We start from the raw sequence: 19,516 nt of genomic DNA, 5'->3' as shown, positions 1-19,516 counted from the left end.
AATCCTCACAAAGTCCCTTTTTACTTGGAAAGGAAACAAGGCTAGATAAGAGGTTTGTGCTGTCCAAGCAACACAAAGTAGAAAACAACCACAGAGTGAATTCTCCTCCTAATGATCAAGCTTGAAAACTAAAAGCTGGAAGCTTTCTCCATTATCTAAAAGACTTTACAAACTAAGAGCTGTTCCTTATGCCAATTTGTACATAACATACAATGACATGAGATATTTTCTGGTTTGGGTTTTTGGGAATGACTAAGAGATTCAGAGAAACTTCTGTGAATGCTTCTCCGTTCTCTAACATAATAGACTGTGAAGGGTGGTCCAATAATTGTGATTATACTCATTGCCGTATGTTGTATAATCTTTACAGTTTTATAATCACTAGTTCAATCCTCTTGCAAGAAGAAGAAGAGAGGAGCTTTGGGACAAGGGGAGGAGAGAATGAAGAGTATTTCTCCTCATCTTTCCCCCTAACTTTTCAAGGCCCACATGTAACTCTTTTGAAATTTCATTATATTTACATTCTTTCCTCAAAGCTTTTCATTCATTATTGAAAGGAATCCAGACCAGGCCAACCTGATGCTGAAATCCAGACCAGGCCAACAAGAGTTACTGGCATTCTTCTTAAATAAAAAAATAAATAAATAAATTTTTGAAAAGTTGGTCTTTTTGCAGCAGTATGTATTTACATACAAGTTACGTAGGTATTCAAAACATTATTATGAGGCAGTGACAATCCATGAAGGCCTTAAGAGCACTCTTCATAACAAGAAAGCAAGGACATTGTGCTTGAAGATGTTTCTATTTAAAAAAAAGAGTTTGTGACCAGCTTGGGCAACAAAGCAAAACTCCATCTCTACAAAAAATAAGTTAGCCGGTGACCAGCCTGGGTGACAAAGTGAAACTCGAACTCTACAAGAAATAAAATAATTAGCTGGATGTGGGGGTGCACACCTGCAGTCCTAGCTACTTGGGAGGCTGAGGCAGGAGGATCACTTGAGCCCAGGAGGTCTAAGCTGCCATGAGCTATGACTGTACCACTGCACTCCAGTTTGGGTGACAAAGCAAGACCCTGTCTCAACAAAACAAAAAACAAAAAAGAACAAGAAAATTTGAAAAGAAAAAAAAGGCTATACTTCTCAACAACAAGAATTATACTACGATTTACACTACTACTTTGATTTTCCTTATTCGGCCCTATTGAATCTTATTCAAACATTCTTAAGGAAGTTGATAGTTTTCTTAACAATAAAACAAACTGGACAACATCCTTTTGACTTGGAAGGAGTTTGGGTATTTGCCCTGTAATTTTTAATGAAAGTGAACAGTCTCTCCACAGCGGTAAAGTTAAAAAAAAATCACAAAAATACTTCACTATTCAAATACTTCAGTAATTTGCTATTGAAACCCTGCTTTGACCCCTGAACCAAAGATAAAATCCCAAACGCAAGATAATCTGTACATTTCTTCTCCTGTTTTTCAGTTGTGCAACTTTACCCAACAAAGTCCTTCGACTTATCAGCAATTTGGATAGTACTAGATGCCTGAATAAGTTGTTTTGCCCATTGCCCAAAAATCACTTCAAGGAATTCAATGAGGCTTCTTGTTTTGTTCAGTACAGTGTTGTGTAATGAGCTAAAAAAACGAACAGAGTGAGAGGCAAGAAGGGAGTAATTAAATATGGCAATATCTAAAAGCTTTTCAGAAAGCTCACCCTATCCCACACAAAATACTTTCTATCTAGCAGATGTCCCAAAGCAACATTTTGATGTCCCATGCAGGCTGAGTGTACTTCCACCTCTGTAAGAGCTGATGTCAGCCAAGCAGGAACCGACTGGCCAAAGACATCAAACTCCTCATAGGTCTGTCAGACACCAAGATAAACAATGACATATGGCTCAGCCCCCGCCCTCGCCCCTTTTTTTTTTTGAGACAGAGTCTTGCTCTGTCACCCAGGCTGGAGTGCAGTGGCGTGATCTCGGCTCACTGCAACCTCTGCCTCCCGGATTCAAGCGATTCTCCTGCCTCAGCCGCCTGAATAGCTGGGATTACAGGCGCCCAACACCAAGCCAGGCTAATTTTTGTATTTTCAGTAGAGAGGGGGTTGTTCTCTCACCATGTTGGCCAGGCTGGTCTCGAACTCCTGACCTCAAGTGATCCACTCGCTTTGGCCTCCCAAAGTGCTAGGATGACAGGTGTGAGCCATCGTGCCCTGCCTGGCTCAGCCCTTTTTGTTGTTGTTGTTAAAGGGTCAAAGGAAGATGAAAATCCCTTTGCTTTCAGTGAAATCACGTACACCTACCAAGTATCTTCACTCATAAGAAAACTGTACAATTAAGAAACAATACTAAAAAGAAACAGAAAGGTTGGCCACCTTTGTCAATTAGGTAGAATAACACACTGACAAAATAAGACACACACACCAGCAGGAGGTTCTGCACCACTGAAAAGAAGCCGGTGCGATGGCTCAAGCCTGTAATCCCAGCACTTTGGGAGGCCCAGGCGGGCGGATGACGTGAGGTCAGGAGTTTGAGACCAGCCTGGCCAACATGGTGAGAGACCAACAACCCCCTCTCTACTGAAAATACAAAAATTAGCCTAGCTTGGTGTCGGGCGCCTGTAATCCCAGCTACATGGCGAAACTTCGTCTCTACTAAAAATACAAAAATTAGCTGGGCGGGTGGCAGGCACCTGTAGTCCCAGCTACTCGGGAGGCTGAGGCAGAAGAATCGCTTGAACCTGGGAGGCGGAGGTTGTAGACAGAGCGAGACTCTACCTCAAAAAAAAAAAAAAAAAAAAAAAAATGTCCTCAAAAGAGCAGTAGACAGGCTGAACATGAGAACCTCTGCTTTGCTCCCAGCCGGTTGTGAACTTGGACAAGGCCATTTACTCTAGACCTGTTTCTCTACAGGCAAACAACAGGAGGCAGTTAGCTAGCTCTGAAGTTTCTTCCCATTCTAAAATCTAAGACAGTATGCTAAACATGGGCAAATAACTTAAAATTGCATAGGAATATGTGATACAAGTAACGTTTAAAGACTCATACATTCATCCTAATTTACTGTGGGAAATAATATAACCATCTTACATTCTGGAATATATGACACTTAAAGGTTTTGGGAATTAACCCATCAAAACCTGGAGCAGCAGCATCCATCTTAAAATCTCCAAACTCCATCGCTACCTGGTGAGGGCTGAAACTCTCTTCCCTAAAATAATCTTCAGGCCACACTGGAAGCACCTCCCTCTTACGAAAGATACTGCATGACCTTTAAGCATCCAAGTGGTTTTGAAAAGACTTCATCTGGCCATATGCTCACTGCTCCCATTACCTCTTTCCCAAGAGTTGAATTAAAGAAAGGTTAGGCAAGAACCCTTCCAAGAAGGCTCCCGGTTCTCACGACTAGGAACAATCTGAGGACAAGATGTCTGGGCAGCGGAATGTTATGAAAAGACCCTGGCCTGGGTTGTCTATCAGCCTCGTCCGTTAACTTTCAACTGCCCGAGTGCGTTTTTAATTCCGTTTCTTTAAATGCATGGCCCCAGACTCCCTGACGTGTGCAATCTTGGGTGGTTCAGGAGGCTGCTCTCAGCTTTACTGGGCGCACAACCCATCGCTTTAAAAAAAAAAAAATCACTTGGGCAACTTCGAGAAATCTAATAAAAAAATAAAAAAGGAAAAAGGAGAAGCAAGGCACAGCCTCTCACCCCACACGTGACTGAAGCCAACCCTAGACGAGCAAATGAATTTTCCTGACAAACGTGTGGCAACAAAGGAATGCTCGCTGGGGGGCTCCCGCGCCCGCCAGACGCTGCCCGCCCGCGAGCCCCGCACACCTGATCCCCGACACGTCCCGCGGCAGCCGCCCGCCCCGCCCCGCTCCCGCGCGTCCATCCCCCGGCGTCCCCGCCGCACGTCCCCATCCCGGCCCACGTCCCCTCCGCGGCCCGCTCCGCCCACCCGGCCTCCCCGCCCCCCAGGCCCGCCCCCGCCCCGCCCCGCCCGGCTCCGCTGCTGGGGACCACCCCCCGCACCAGGGGGATCCGCGCTACCCGCGCCGCTCCCGGACCGCGAGCCCAAACGGCCCCGGGCCCAAGACCCCAGGAGGCAACAGAGAGGCCCGGAGCAAGGCAGGCGCCCCTCCTCTTGACAGGGGACGGGAGCTGTCAGTCACCTGGACATCCCATGCCTGAGCCAATGAGCTGCCTTCTCCTCCCGCCTCCCGCGCCGCGCCGGTGGCGGCGGCCGGGGCTGCTCCTCCTCCCCCATCCCCTTCACAGAGCCTCGGCCCCGCACTCACTGTTGAGGCCGGCCGGCGGGGGCAGAGACTGCTCATTTTCCTCGCAGTTGTTGTTGTTGTTGTGCAGGGGCGGCGGCGGCTCGACTAGGTGGGACGACATTGTCGGACAGCTGGCAGGACTGCGGCAGCAGCAGGACCGTCTCCGGCACTCAGGCAGCAACACAACAAGCCGAGTCCGCCGCCCCCTTTTCTGCGCCTGCGCCGTCCCTCCCCTGCCCCTGACGTCAGGGCCCGCCCAGGCCACGTGATGACAACACAACAAGCGACCGGACGGGGCAGGGGCGCTCCCCTGCGGGCCCCGGACGTGGAGACGCTCGAGTCAGGCTGACGCGCGCGCCGGGAACGAACTCTTGCGTGTGACTTGGGATGACCGGATGGGATGAGTGATGCCAGTGGCAGTGGGAGAGAGGATGAGGAGAAACGGAATGAGGAAGTGCGCTCCTGTGTTCGCGCCCGTGCCTCCTCTCACACAGGCTCCACAGTGCTTCACCCAGCCCTGCGCACGCATCTGTTTTCTACCTCTTAGGACTCACTTCTGCAATAGGTGTCTTGGGGACACAAAGGAATCCCCAAACCCAGGTGCCTCCACGTGTAAACTCCAAATAAAGCTGCTGAAACATCAACACTCCATACGGGAAACAAGGGAAGGCCGCCCCCAAATTTAATTGTTACAGAATTTTTAAAATGTCGATTACAAACACACCATCATTCTGAAAAAAAGAGAAAGAAGAAAGGGGAAGAAAGAAAAAAGAAAAATTCAGGAAAACAGAGAGAAGAAAGTACTCACCCAAATCCCATCGACTAATCGATTTCTGGGACATGACGTGGGAAGCCGTTTATCCTGTACGTGGATGACATTAAACTATGTTCCTGAGCACACCTCCTACTTCACATCTCCATGTCTTCGTCCAGTCTCCTTGGTCTGATTTATGAGTGACATATGTTTCTCGCAGTCTCTAACTTGTCTTTTAATTTGTTTTTTTCACTCTGTAGAAGCTTAAGGTTTTCATGTAATCAGATTTATCATTCTTACATGGCTTGGGGAGACAGTCACACCAAGATTACTAATCTATAATTCCCTTATAACTTTTTCTAATTTTCTTATAGGCTTAACTTTACATTTAGAGCTCTAATCCATCTGAAATTTATTTTCCATATGCTGTAAATTATTTAACTTCAATTCTTCCCAATTTTGTAGCCCATTGACCTAATAATATTAATTTTAAGCCATCCTTTCTACACTGATTTGAAATTGCACCTTTGTCACTCTCTGAATGACCACAAAAATGTGAGTCTGTTTCAGGGCTATCTGCAATACCTCTGTTAGATAACTATTAAAGTTTCTCTTCCTTTGTCTTTTTCAGATGTTAATGGCTAGTTACTCTTCAGATGAACTTAAAAATGGACTTGTCCAAGATTGACCTTGTGTTGGTAATTATTGAAGCTATGTAATACATTAAAGTATTCCTCTAATTTTTTAATATATTTGAAAAAGTCCATGCTAAAAGGTTTTTTTTAAGGATTGATTTGTCAAATCCCTTTGCAAATTCTTTTAAGATTTTGGTCAGAAATGAACTCTATTAATAGATTGAGTGCTGTTTCCGGTCATACCCGGAAGCAGGAGTTCAAGCCGCAGCTGGTAGGGATTGGCGGCTGCTGGCCATCTGAGTTTTATTAAAACTGCTCGCCGCGAAGCCAGTCTTCAGCCAGAATGTCCAGCAGAAACAACAACAAGCTGCCCAGCAACCTGACTGCAGTTACAGAATCTGATGAAGCGAGACCCACCACCCTCCATCTAGGAGTTTCTACAGCAGTATAATCACTACACATCCAATGTGGAGATTTTCAAATTGCAACCATATAAACCCGGTAAAGAACTAGCAGAGCTGGTGGTGTTTATGGCACAGAACGTCCTAAATATGTGCATCTGAATAATAGGAGAGAAAGAGAGAAACTTCAGAAGAGCCTTTGCTTTGTTATAGATTAGTTACTGCTACCCAGGGTATCTAAGTAATTTTCCTCAAGTGGTGAAAGATCTTCTGTCCTGTAATCATACTGTATTGGATCCAGATCTTCGAATGACATTTTGCAAAGCTTTGATCTTGCTGAGAAATAAGAATCTCATCAATCCATCAAGCCTGCTAGAACTCTTCTTTGAACTTCTCTGTTGCCATGATAAGCTTCTGCAAAAGACTTCATACACATATATCGTGACTGATATCAAGAATATAAATGCAAAACACAAGAATAAAGTGGATGTAGTATTGTAAAATTTCATGTATACCATGTTGAGAGATAGCAATGCAACTGCAGCCAAGATGTCTTTAGATGTTATGATTGAACTCTACAGAAGGAACATCTGGAATGATACCAAAACTGTCAATGTTATCACAACTGCATGTTTCTCTTAGGTCACCAAGATATTAGTTGCTGCTTTGACATTCTTTCTTGGAAAAGATGAAGATGAAAAACAGGCCAGTGACTCCGAATCTGAGGATGACGGACCAACAGCAAGAGACCTGCTAGCACAGTATGCTACAGGGAACAAAGTTCCCAAAACAAGAAAAAGTTGGAAAAGGCAATGAAAGTGCTCAAGAAACAAAAGAAGAAGAAAAAACCAGAGGTGTTTAACTTTTTAGCCGTTCACTTGATTCATGATCCCCAAGATTTTGCAGAAAAACTACTAAAGCAGCTTGAGTGCTGTAAGGAGAGGTTGGAAGTGAAGATGATGCTCATGAACCTCATCTCAGATTGGTGGGAATTCATAAGCTCTTCCTCTTCAATTTCTATCACTTTTTGCGAAGGTTTCTGCAGCCCCACCAAAGAGAAGTAACAAAGAACCTTCTGTTTGCTGCACAAGCATCTCATCACCTAGTACACCCAGCGATTATTCAATCATTGCTTATGACTGTGGCCAACAATTTTGTTAACGACAAGAACTCTGGAGAAGCCATGACAATAGGAATCAATGCTGTAAAAGAGACAACAGCTCAGTGTCCTCTGGCCATGACTGAAAAGCTTCTCCAAGACCTGGCTCAGTATAAAACACACAAGGATAATAATGTAATGATGTCTGCTAGAACTTTGATTCGGCTCTTCCGAACACTGAATCCTCAGATGCTGCAGAAGAAATTCTGGGGTAAGCCTACAGAAGCCTCCATAGAAGCAAGAGTACAAGAATATGGAGAATTAGATGCTAAAGGTTACATTCCAGGAGCAGAAGTTCTGGAAGTTGAGAAAGAGGAGAGTGCTGAAAATGATGAAGATGGATGGGAAAGTACCAGTCTCAGTGAGGAGGAGGATGCCGATGGCGAATGGGTTGATGTGCAACACTCTTCCAATGAAGAACAGCAAGAAATTTCCAAGAAGCTGAACACCATGCCCATGGAGGAGCAGAAAGCCAAAACTGCAGCCGTCAGCACCAGTCGAGTTTTAAGTTAGGAAGACTTCCAGAAAATCCGCATGGCGCAAATGAGAAAAGAACTTGACGCTGTCCCCGGGAAATCCCAGAAGAGGAAATATATTGAAATCGACAGTGATGAAGAGCCGAGGGGTGAATTACTTTCTCTTCCGGACATTGAACGCCTTCATAAAAAGCCAAAATCTGACAAAGAGACAAGACTAGCAACTGCAATGGCTGGAAAGACAGACCGAAAAGAATTTGTGAGGAAGAAAACCAAAGTGAATCCATTTTCCAGTTCAAAAAGTAAAGAGAAGAAAAAACAGAAGAACTTTATGATGATGTGGTATAGCCAGAATGTCTGGTCAGAAAATAAGCGTTCCTTCTGAGAAAAACAGTTGGCGCTGCGAGATGCCTTTTGAAAAGAGAAAAAGAATGAAGTAACTTCCCAGAAAGTTTTCCATTCCAAGAAGAATGCTAAGTTTGTGTCATTACTCTGAAAATTGGTAAATCAAGCATGTTTGTTTACATTAAAAAGTCCAGAAGCACTATATTATGAAAACTGCTGAAAATGTGGCAGCAATTTGGTGTTTTTATTTTGGGGACAGCTAATGATGGGAAATGTTAATGTAAATAGTGGTGGTAGTGTAATATCATTTATCATTCATGCAAAAAAAAGTATTGAGTGCCTATTAATTGTCACTGTAGATACAAAATGACTGAGTTGTAACTACCCCTTCACTCAAGGCATTGACAGCTTAGTTGTGGGGGTGGACACAGACGTGTATTTACAGTGCAGTGTAAATAGTTCTCTAGTAGAGGTAGGTCCACATTTCTATGCAGACACTGAGGCCTTATGGACTAACTCTGTGGGGATGGGGGTTATATATTCCTGTAAAACAAAGCAAAACAGGACAATTGTAACAAGAGTAAGAGGTTCTTTCTTGCATATAATAGGCTTACCTGCTGAAAACAGGCCCCTGCTGTACAGATTTTGGGTACATAATTTAGCTCTTTTAGTCAATCCAAAAGATTTAAATGACCCCCGCTTTTTTTTTTTAATGCCATGTAAAGGCTTTTTGGTTAAGACCTCACTTTTAAAATTGCCTTAAGTGTAAATAGTACCTTTGGAATGTATTTAGTTCATCATTTGAGATGCCTTCATACTGGTTTCCTCAACCTTCCTTCACCCTGTATTATTTTCAGCCCACCGTTTGTCTCAATAAAAGGTTTCTAATGCCAAATGATAAAAAAGAAATTGAGGGGATTATTGACATATTTATAGAATTGTTTTCCCAGTCAGGACTACGAGATCCCACTTTGTTCTATTTTCCTTTTAGGTGCTCCTTTCAAAAGGTTTTAAACTTTCAAAAAAAAGTTTTTTATTAATCATGTGCTATTTTATTTTTATTTTTTTGAGACAAGGTCTCATGCTATCACCCAGGCTGGAGTGCAGTGGTACAATCACAGCTCACTGCAGCCTCAGCCTCCCGGGCTCAAGTGATCATCCCACCTCAGCTTTCCCAGTAGGTGGAACTACAGGTGCCTGCAATCATGTCCAGCTATTTTTTTGTGTTTTTTGTAGAGACAGAGTTTTCCTGTGTTGCTCAGGCAAGTCCTGAACTCCTGGTCTTATGGGATCCCCCTGCTTCAGCCTCCCAAACTGCTGGGATTACAGGCATGAGCCACTTTGCCCAGCTTACTATACTCATTTTATTGAAAATAATTAGAAAGTTTCCTTTTCTCTGGTCTTACATAGATGACATTGAAATTACTTTCTTTAAGGAGATGTTATAATTCCCTATGGAAACATTGGGGCCTGATGCTTTTAGGAAGGTCATCTCTGTTTCTATAGGATGTTACTTTTATTTCTTATTTTATGTTGTTTGTCCTCTGTTTTTTTCTGGATTATATTACCTAATCATTTATTTTATTGGCTCTTGAATTGAATTCCTGCTTCCTAATTGTATTATTCCTAATTCTTGTTTTTTTTTTTTTTTTTTTTTTTTTGAGACAAAGTCTAGCTTTGTTGCCCAGGCTGGAGTGCAGTGGCACAATCTCGGCTCATTGCAACCTCTGCCTCCTGGATTCAAGTGATTCTTCTGCCTCAGCCTCCTGAGTAGCTGGGATTACAGGCGCCCGCCACCACGCCCAGCTATTTTTTTCTATTTTTTTAGTAGAGATGGGGTTTCACCATGTTGCCCAGGCTGGTCTCAGACTCCTGACCTCGTGATCCACCCGCCTTGGCCTCCCAAAGTGCTGGGATTACAGGCGTGAGCCACTGCGCCTAGCCTCCTAATTCTTGTTTTTTAACAGCCCCATTGAAATATAATTCACATACTATACAGTTCATCCACTTAAAGTTCAATTCAATGTTTTTTATATATTCAGAGTTACGTAACCATCACAGTCACTTTGGAACGCTTTTGTCACACACCCCCCCCCCCAACCAATGACTGCCTGTACTCATTGGCAGTCACCCTCATGCTTTCCTAGCTTCTTATATATTTGATACTTATTTCATTCTTTATTAATTTGGGTATTTAAGAATTTTTCCCTGGTCAGATTTGGTTTTTGTATCATTTCTAGTGTGGGATTTTTTTTTTTTTTTTTTAGGTGTTCTCTGGGGCCTAACTTATGATGCCTTTTGGGGACTATTCCGTATTTGAAAAGAAGATGTAGTTTGTGTTCACAAAATCAGGTTTGATGTATCTGTTGGAACCACCTTAATGTCATTTAAGTTTTCATATAGTTGATTATTTCCCCCCTTTACATGTCATGGATTTCAAGAGGTAAATTAATATCTCCTACTCCTGTTTCTTTCTTCTTGTATCTTCATTCCTTATAGTTGATGCACAGATATTCATAACTATCCCTGTTTGTCACTATAAAGTGGTCATAATTTTGTCTTCAGTTCAACCTCAATATTAAGATCATGGTTTGGGTTTTTACTATTATTATTGTTGCTTAGTTGTATTAGCCTGATGAAATTTTAATTTTTGTTCAGTTAGTTACCTTTATAACTATATATTTATATAATCCTCCTAATCCTTCTTTTCCTTAGTTTCTTTTAATGTCCAGCAAGGAACAGTAATGAAATTAGTATAATTCCTCTTCTTCCACCTTTATCTCTACTACCCATTTTTTAGTTGATCATATCCTTTTTTTTTTTTTTTGGATAGGTTCTCACTCTGTCACGCAGGCTGGAGTTCAGTGGCAGGATCCCAGCTCACTGCAACCTCCACCTCCTGGGTTCAAGCGATTCTTGTGCCTCAGCCTCCTGAGTAGCTGGGATTACAGGTATGTACCACCATGCCCAGCTTTTTTGTATTTTTAGTAATAAAGATGGGGTCTCACCATGTTGGCCAGGCTGGTCTTAACTCCTGACCTCACGTGATCCACCTACCTTGGCCTCCCCTAGTGTTGGGCTTACAGACATGAGCCACCACGCCCAGCTGATATCCCCACTTAATATTTACTTTTCTCATTTTAGCTATAGTTGTACTTCTATTACTTGATTGTGGCAATAGCTACTGGATACAAATACTATTACCTGATTTATTAAGATGATTAATTTTCATAAGAAATAAGGTAATATACTTGCCCTACCAATTACTTTATTTATTTAGAGACAGAGTCTCGTTCTGTCGCCCAGGCTGGAGTGCAGTGGCGTTCGAGACCAGCCTGGGCAACATGGTGAAACCCCATCTCTACGAAAAATACAAAAGGGTGTGGTGGTGCACATCTGTAGTCCCAGCTACCTGGGAGGCTGAGGTGGGAGGATCACCTGAGCTTGGGGTTTAAGGTAGCAGTGAACTGTGATTGCACCACTGCCCTACTGCCCTCCAGTCTGGGTGATGGAGTAAGACTGTCTCAAAAATAAAGTAAATAAATAAAAAGAAAAAAGAAAAACAGAAACGATGCTGTGCTCTGCAAGATGTTTTACTATTAATTAATTTTTGAGCATTGATTCCATAATACCATATCCAATTACAAGTATTTTGCCTGGTTTGGTTGTAATCTTAAAGCAAAAGAGAAGGTACAAACTCAAATGCTTACAGAAGGAAGGGGAGTTAGAAAGTGTAGTTCAGGAGTGACTGTTAGAGGCATTGTCATCCAATGACCAAATAAACTTGTCTGCAAATAGGTCAGGACTTGGCTGCCAGTGGACAGAAAGAAGTAAGGATGAGAAGAGGGAAGAAGGGGAGAGGAGGAGGGAGAAGTTTCTATTTTCTAGGCTAGGCACAGTGGTGGCTCATGCCTCTAATCCCAACATTTTGGGAGGTGGACGCGGGAGGATCACTTGAGCCCAGGAATTGAAGCTTAGCTTGGGCAACATCTCTACAAAAACTTTTAAAAAGTTAGCTGGGCATGGTAGCAGGTGCCTGTAGTCCCAGCTACTTGGGAGGCTGAGATGAGAGGAGTGGGCCCAAGAGGTTGAGGCTGCAGTGAGCCATGATCAGGCCACTGCATTACAGCCTGGGTGACAGAGCGAGACTGTGTCTCAAAAAGCAATTATCATTATTATATTTTCTTAAACTCACAGGATTCCTAGTGTGGCAGTCCAGCACGTCCTAACCACTTTGCTCTGTGTTACTTAACAACTACATTACCTGATCAGTGAATCTTTTTAGGCATTGGTAAGTTAAGTGTTGGGCAACAAAAGTTTGATATAGATTTGGGCTAACAAATTAACATTTTCAAAGATACTGTAAGAGAGCAAAATGGTGTTTGACAAACTCAAATTATGATGCTTCATTCTGTTAACTCGGCTGGGCGATTTGGTGAATAGAGCAGAAATACATTTCAATTCTGAAAAGAGACAAATGTTGTTCTCCTTACAGTGACTCAGTGATGTGACCTTTGATAGAATGGTATTTAATAATTTGTCACTAGTGAATTCTACCAAACACTGAAGGAAGAAATTGTACCAATTTTGTCCATATTCTTCAATAATACAGGAGAGGAAAATTCATTTTATGAGATCAGCATTACACTAGACAGTGACATTAAAATATAAAAAAATTGTAGATCAATATCCTTCATGAACATCAATGCAAACTACTCAACAAAATACTTGCAAAATACAGAACTTAGCTGGATGTACACAAATGCCAACTGTGATGTCATTACTTATATTGTACTACAATGAAGTCATACAGTGTAAGTACAATAAAGTAGTACAATGTAAGTAATGACATCACAGTTGGCATTTGGGTAAACCCAGCTAAAGTTTTGTATTTTGCAAGTATTTTGTTGAGTAATTGTACTACTTTGTTGTACTTATATTGCATGACTTGATTGTAGTACAATATAAGTAATGACATCACAGTTGGCTTTTGTGTTCCCCTCCATCAGTGGGTTCTCAAATATTTACTCAAGGGTCATAGGGAACAGTGGTTTTGGGTACACAATATCCTGTATTTGGTCCCTGACTTTAATAATGAAGCTCTTCCAGTACATAAAGACTCCCGTTTATACTTTCTCAAAAATACCCCATCATTGCTGTTCAAAACTTAACGATCGCCCCCTAGTGGTTTCCTAAAATATATTTCTTAAAATACATCTTTTATTTGTAGAGATGGGATCTTGGTTTGTTGCCCAGGCTGATCTCAAGTGATCCTCCCACCTCAGCCTCCCAAAGTGCTGGGATTACAGGCATGAGCCACCGCTCCCCACCATTGCCCTCTAGCGGGAAAGTCCTCGAAGAACTTGTTGCTATTCAGATTACAAAGGAGCATGAGTAGAACATGTGAAAAAACACAAATATTAGTTTTTCCCCTTATACCAGTTTGCCAAATTCCTTTTAGAGGAAACTAAGCTCTGTAGTGCCTTCTCTTTGATACACTGAGCTAGCAAGAGACTTATTAACGTTAAGCCTGTAAAGTGGGTGTTTCTTCATTCTAATACAGAGGTAAGAGGTTCCAGTCTGACACCACTACGGAATAAAATGTTGAGGCAAACTCAGTTACAAAATATATTTGGCATCTGAGAACACCTCAAGACTCTGTAGAATCGCTAAGCATTTGATTAATACTAAAAGAGTTGTAATGTTTTGACTTCATGCATAATTACAAAATGAAGCAGGGTCATTTTTCAAGGCTTTTTGAGGGGGAAGAGGAGGTGCATAAAACTCCCTTTTTAACCACAGTAAGACATACACGCAGAGCTTAAACTATCACCATCTGAACAGATAGATAAGTAAGATACTAAAGTACAGGTGCTCTCAAATACACAAGTAAACTGACTTGATTCTTGACTACCCAGCATATGCCTATCTTTTCCATCTTTTGGGGGGGATTGGTTTTGTTTTTCTGGAAGGGCACAATACTATCTACATTTGAATTTATGTGTGGTAAAGATGCTCAAACAATATTCCCTTAGAAGGGTTTAAATATCACTAAAAATTCTTTATCAGTACTGCATAGCTTTCACATGTGCACAATTTCCTAATTAACACCTTACTCAAAAGTCACACACTGAAAGAACCTGCTTTCCTATCTCTAGCTTTCCGTAGAAGTATCCCTAACCAGAATAACTCACATTTAAGGTTTAAAAAATTCTCTTCATTTTGAAAGGAAAAGAGTGCATGGACGCATTTTTGTTTGAGTCGGCGTCTCGCTCTGTCACCCAGGCTGGAGTGCAGTGGCGCGATCTCGGCTCACTGCAACCTCTGCCTCCCGGATTCAAGCCAATTCTCCTGCCTCATCTTTTGGAATAGCTGCGATTAGACACGTGCCACCACACCTGGCTGATTTTTGTATTTTTAGTAGAGACGGCGTTTCACCATGTTGGCCAGGCTGGTCTCGAACTCCTGACCTCAGGTGATTCACCCACCTCGGCCTCCCAAAGTGTTGGGATTACAAGAGTGAGCCACCGCGCCCGACTGGATGCATTTTTTTTAATCCCAAGAGACGGAGGGCTGCACAGAAGCTTACCATCCAGCAGTTAATGGTTACATAAACATGTATTTAGACAGGTTTATAAAACAATTCTTATTGCCCAGCCACTAAGTAAAGATCAAAAGAGGTTAATAGAATGAAAGTCCTTTTCCTACCCACAATCTCTTCTAAAAGGTTAAGTGATGGAGTATGTGCATGTATATTAGTGGCAAGAGAATAGGAAATACAAGCAACTTGACAAGACTAAGTTTATTCTAAGTATAATTTTTATTAATAAAAAGATTAACCATGGCCATGTAAAATGAGTGGCTGGGCTTAGAGTTTGCTACACCAATGAAATTAAAAAATTAATACTTGAGAATGTTAACAATAATTTATAATAGCATTCCTTGATAGAGGCATTTTAATTTTAGCAATTATTTCTCTTAAATATATAAACTAATCCTTAGTGTCATGGAGGAGAATCATCATAGCTACTGATCAATCAAAAAAGAATTTCTGAGAGCTGTTTGGTGGTGTTATCTCAAGACATACAACCAAGCTGTAGGAAAATCTCCCAAAAAAGATCTGGAAAACTGTCCAGTCACAACACAGGAAGAATATCACTGTTTGACACTTGTGGCAGGGGAATATCCCACTTGCAAGTCAAGCGTGAAGAATAAACACAAATTAAGAATGTACCCAAGATCCCCAAATAAATTAGTAAAAGTGCCATTAAGAATTATCAGACATAGAATGTGTTTCAAATACAAATTTGTTAAATCCAAAAGATACAGTAATTTTATTACATAAAATTTCTCCTGTGTGCTAAAAATGCTAACTTACAAGACATAATATTTGTAGTAGAGGGAATCACGGTCGGCTCGTTGAATTCTTTTTCATTATTGAAGAATAGAACAATAGGTAGTGGACATAGAAGCACTCAGAGTCCTCTGAAATTCAAGGTTGTTACATTATGTTCCACCAAAATAAGACTACCATTCTCTAATAATATAAATGCCTGTTCATTTCACCTTTCAAAAATAAAGTCCATTTCTTCTCCATTAAAGTTTCTGCAAGACTGACAAAGGTACATTCTACCTATTAAAAATAGGAGCACTCTTCATCTTTGGATAATGTATCACCGCTTAGGGAAAATGTATTCATATACAGATTTTTATTTGAGGCAGCTGTTGGAGTTCATTAAGCACTTTTTGAACGCTGTACCTTTAAAAATTTGTCTTTCATATAGCTTTGGAAAACCAAAAATAGAAGAAAAATATCTATGGTAAAGTATATTTCATTCTGATTTGATAGCAGTAAAATACAAAAAAAGTATTTAGTGCAGTGTCACTTGATGTTAGTTTTCTGCTATTTTATATGACTGAATAACAAAAAAGTTCTAACTTGTTAAAAATGTTTTATAAGTCTTTGACTATTTAGTAAGGCAAAAATGAAATTAAGCACTCTAAAAAGTAGAAATTAAGTTCTACAAATTTGGTTCCCATTTACAACAATTTCATTAACACATAATGAGTTAAATAGAGACACAATGTATCCAATACCCTCATGATGGTAAAAAAAAAAAAAAAAACTAGTAGCATTTATAGATTGTGAAATCCTTAATAAAACCTATATTCAAAATATGTTCATAGAGAACCAATACCTCTCCTCCTGCATGTAAAAGAACACTTGTTAAAAATAATTAACAAAAATACCAATAAACAATGAAAACCCATTTTGTTTCACTGTGCCCAAAGGTATGACACAAAATATTGGCTACAAGAGGTAGGTTAAAAAGAAAAAGAAAACCAGATTCTCCATTCTTTGTCACTTTTATTCAGTAGTAGGTTTTTTTTCCTTATTTTCAGTGCCAGACACGGCGAGGAGTGATTACAGCCAACTGTTACTAAAACATTTGTTTGCAACATATACCCCCTTTATACCACTGACCCCAAACTGACTCATTTTGTGTGCTTTCATTCTTTCTTTTTTTAATATACCACCACCAAGACCGGGTGGAGGGGGCAAGGGTAAGAGATGAAGGGGAGCAGTCCAGGAGGCCAGAAGAGGAGGAATGCTACAAGCCACAGTAAGAATGAGCTGTATTTAATTTAAAAAAAGGGGGAAGGGGTGTACCCCACAAATGATACAGTAATGAGGATACACAATTAAATCCCATAGCATGACTGAAGGCTTTCACTGTGTTTGACGTCATCACAATGGAAGGCATAAAAAGTGGAGTAAATCAATGTTGATACAGTCCAATCTAGTCCATTAGGCAAGATGGTGCAAGAAGTCATTTAAATTAAAAGTGCCCTACCCTTACCTAAATGGCTAGCAGACATGGAGAACACCACAGTGATGAATCCACAGAGCTTTCTCCATGTAGCTATAACAATGTGTTGTCGAATGGCACACTGTCAAACACTGGAAAGGGGCGCCACAATGGACCTCTCTCTTTTATAGGAACGAATGCTAGATTCAACTATCTCAACTAAGCAGGAAGTGGGTTCTTCTGCTAGGAATGCCAACCCTAATTCACTTTGTCTTGAAATATATACAGATTGTTTGTAGTAGCTACGGCAATGATATTTTCCTTGGGGTGCCAGGCTGTGTGAAGGATTTTCTTATTGAAGTCTAGGCTGTCAACACTTATTTCATCTTTCTTTCGCTTGCCACTTGCACAGACTTTGCGAGGCTTCAGAACTGTGCGAGGCTTATTGTTTTCCCGCGATGCTTCTAGGGTTATGTCTCGCTTTGTGTTTCTGTCAAACATTCTGAAGAAATTATTGTAAGATCCAGTCATGACAACACTGTGAAAATAGACAGTACACTCAGTCAAACAAGCAGAACAAGAAATTGTTTTCAAGTAAAATGATTCGGCAATTAAACCATAGGAAGCTACTTCAAAAGCAGATTTAAACTAAGGGACAGGGGCTGTTGACATCAACTCAATCACTAGAATAAACCAGAAATACGGTACTAATTAACTGGGTTTTCTGCTTATTCTTTTTATGGCTACCAAAACTATCAGCAAAGTTGACAGCATCCTCAAGTAAAACTTCTTAGGAGTGCAGAATTATCGTTGTTAAGTATTTTTGCAACTACAGGCTATGTGATCAACCAGGCCAGCCAGCTTCTCAAAGGAGCAACTATCTGTGGAACTCACAGGTTCTAAAACAAAAGAACCCCGCATGAAGTAGCTGTAGCTGTTCACAAGAAACCAATGCTTTATCTTATGATTTACATTTTTTGGGCCGGGCGCAGTGGCTCACGCCTGTAATCCCAGCACTTTGGGAGGCCAAGGTGGGCAGATCACGACGTCAGGAGATCGAGACCATTCTGGCTAACATGGTGAAACCCGGTCTCTACTAAAAATACAAAAAAAATTAGCCTGGCGTGGTGGCAGGCACCCGTAGTCCCAACTACTCGGGAGGCTGAGGCAGGAGAATGGTGTGAACCCGGGAGGTGGAGCTTGCAGTGAGCCAAGGTCGTGCCACTGCACTCCAGCCTGGGCAACTGAGCAAGACTCCGTCTCGGAAAAAAAAAAAAATTAGCTGGGTGTAGTGGCACGTGCCTGTAGTCCCAGCTACTCAGGAGGCTGAGGCAGGAGAATCCCTTGAACCCGGGAGGCGGAGGTTGCACTGAGCCAAGATTGTGCCACTGCACTCCAGCCTGGGTGACAGAGTGAGACTCTGTCTCATAAATAAATAATCTTCTCAGGGTATTGTCTGGTTCAGATAATCACATTTAATAAATGCTTATGTTATAATCTGCTCCTGAGAATATTAAGTGGTACATAATGTGTGTGTGTGTGTGTGTATAATTTTTTTTTTTTTGAGACGGAGTCTCGCTCTGTTGCCCAGGCTGGAGTGCAGTGGTGCGATCTCGGCTCACTGCAAGCTCTGCCTCCTGGGTTCATGCCATTCTTCTGCCTCAGCCTCCTGAGTAGCTGGGACTACAGGCGTCCGCCACCACGCCCGGCTAGTTTTTTTTGTATTTTCAGTAGAGACAGGGTTTCACCACGTTAGCCAGGATGGTCTCAATCTCCTGACCTCATGATCCGCCGGCCTTGGCCTCCCAAAGTGCTGGGATTACAGGCGTGAGCCACCGTGCCCGGCCTATATATATGTATTTTTCAAGACAGGGTTTCACTCTGTCACCCGGGTTGAAATGTGGTGGCACAATCACAGCTCACTGCAACCACAACCTCAACCTCCTGGGTTCAAGCAGTCCTTGCACTTCAGTCTCCTGAGTAGCTGTGACTACAGGCATATGCTGCCATGTCCAGATAATTTTTAAATATTTTGTAGAGACAGGGTCTTGCTATGTTGCCCAGGCTGTAATATTTTCTTAACAGAACATCATTTTACTTTTACCACTTAGAACATTTTAAGCAAATATTTATAAAAGTATCAGTTTAAAGGGGTGGCAAAATTTTTAAACTGCCCAAGACACTTCCTTGTCAGTTCTATTTGCCACCCATTACTGCTCGACATTTATTAAGTATCCTCACAAACAAAACTTCGTAAGTTTGAAGCTCTTAATTTGGAAAGGGTCTGCTACCGCTGCTTACCAATGGTTCAAATTATTATTGTAAATAAGGATTACAGGATACTGGGGAATTGTTCAAAGTAATACTTACATACAAAGGTCACCTACTGAGTACAAATTATTATCTATTTAGTAATGTCAATTCCCAAAGGACACTTGGCAACAACTTTAATCAAACTCAAGGTAATGCGTGCCCCTGAAGATGACAAAACTGTATTTCTTTAAAAATGGCTTGTGTAATTTAGATTGACATCCCCATATCATCTGAGTTTGCGTGGTTTTAATGTATTAGGACACCTAGGCTGTGGCTACTTGAAACTTTAAAAAGGTATCATTAGGCCAGCATTTCTGTGGTATTCCTGCCAAAAATGTATAGC

At 41.5% G+C, this 19,516-nt stretch overlaps 2 protein-coding genes and 1 pseudogene across 11 annotated transcripts in view, besides 4 other annotated features; 1 reads left to right on the top strand and 2 right to left on the bottom strand.

The window, feature by feature from the left end:
- Positions 1 to 4,478, bottom strand: part of BNIP3L (BCL2 interacting protein 3 like) — a 30,074-nt gene extending 25,596 nt beyond the window's left edge. The window contains exon 1 of the mRNA NM_004331.3: positions 4,302 to 4,478. Coding sequence (NP_004322.1) covers positions 4,302 to 4,401 — 100 coding nt within the window. The 5' untranslated portion in view covers positions 4,402 to 4,478. The remainder of the gene's footprint in view (positions 1 to 4,301) is intronic.
- Positions 1,685 to 1,979: a silencer, noted in NCBI's record as "tiled region #12075; K562 Repressive DNase matched - State 5:Enh". NCBI's record gives its function as "represses a minimal TATA promoter and a strong SV40 promoter by Sharpr-MPRA in K562 cells {active_cell/tissue: K562}" and the evidence as "EXISTENCE:reporter gene assay evidence [ECO:0000049][PMID:27701403]".
- Positions 3,729 to 4,318: a silencer, noted in NCBI's record as "silent region_19039". NCBI's record gives its function as "represses an Ori minimal core promoter by ATAC-STARR-seq in GM12878 lymphoblastoid cells {active_cell/tissue: GM12878}" and the evidence as "EXISTENCE:reporter gene assay evidence [ECO:0000049][PMID:35858748]".
- Positions 4,529 to 4,828: an enhancer, noted in NCBI's record as "active region_27126". NCBI's record gives its function as "activates an Ori minimal core promoter by ATAC-STARR-seq in GM12878 lymphoblastoid cells {active_cell/tissue: GM12878}" and the evidence as "EXISTENCE:reporter gene assay evidence [ECO:0000049][PMID:35858748]".
- Positions 4,579 to 8,273, top strand: SDAD1P1 (SDA1 domain containing 1 pseudogene 1; annotated as a pseudogene). The gene is made up of 2 exons (NR_144550.1): positions 4,579 to 5,144; positions 5,666 to 8,273. The product of NR_144550.1 is annotated as an SDA1 domain containing 1 pseudogene 1 (transcript).
- Positions 4,802 to 6,001: an enhancer, noted in NCBI's record as "BRD4-independent group 4 enhancer chr8:26239047-26240246 (GRCh37/hg19 assembly coordinates)". NCBI's record gives its function as "activates an origin of replication core promoter dependent on BRD2, P300/CBP, MED14 and CDK7 cofactors, and independent of BRD4, by STARR-seq in HCT116 cells {active_cell/tissue: HCT116}" and the evidence as "EXISTENCE:reporter gene assay evidence [ECO:0000049][PMID:35650434]".
- A 6,578-nt stretch (positions 8,274 to 14,851) lies between the features above and the next one.
- PPP2R2A (protein phosphatase 2 regulatory subunit Balpha) overlaps positions 14,852 to 19,516 on the bottom strand; it is an 81,173-nt gene continuing 76,508 nt past the window's right edge. For all 9 annotated transcript variants that reach the window (NM_002717.4, XM_005273559.2, NM_001177591.2 and 6 more), the window contains one exon: positions 14,852 to 17,398. In NM_002717.4, the coding sequence (NP_002708.1) occupies positions 17,119 to 17,398 (280 nt within the window). In that variant the 3' untranslated portion in view covers positions 14,852 to 17,118. The remainder of the gene's footprint in view (positions 17,399 to 19,516) is intronic.

This window comes from Homo sapiens, chromosome 8 (genome assembly GCF_000001405.40).
Source record: "Homo sapiens chromosome 8, GRCh38.p14 Primary Assembly".
NCBI lineage: Eukaryota > Metazoa > Chordata > Mammalia > Primates > Hominidae > Homo > Homo sapiens.
This window is presented reverse-complemented; position numbering and strand designations above follow the sequence as displayed.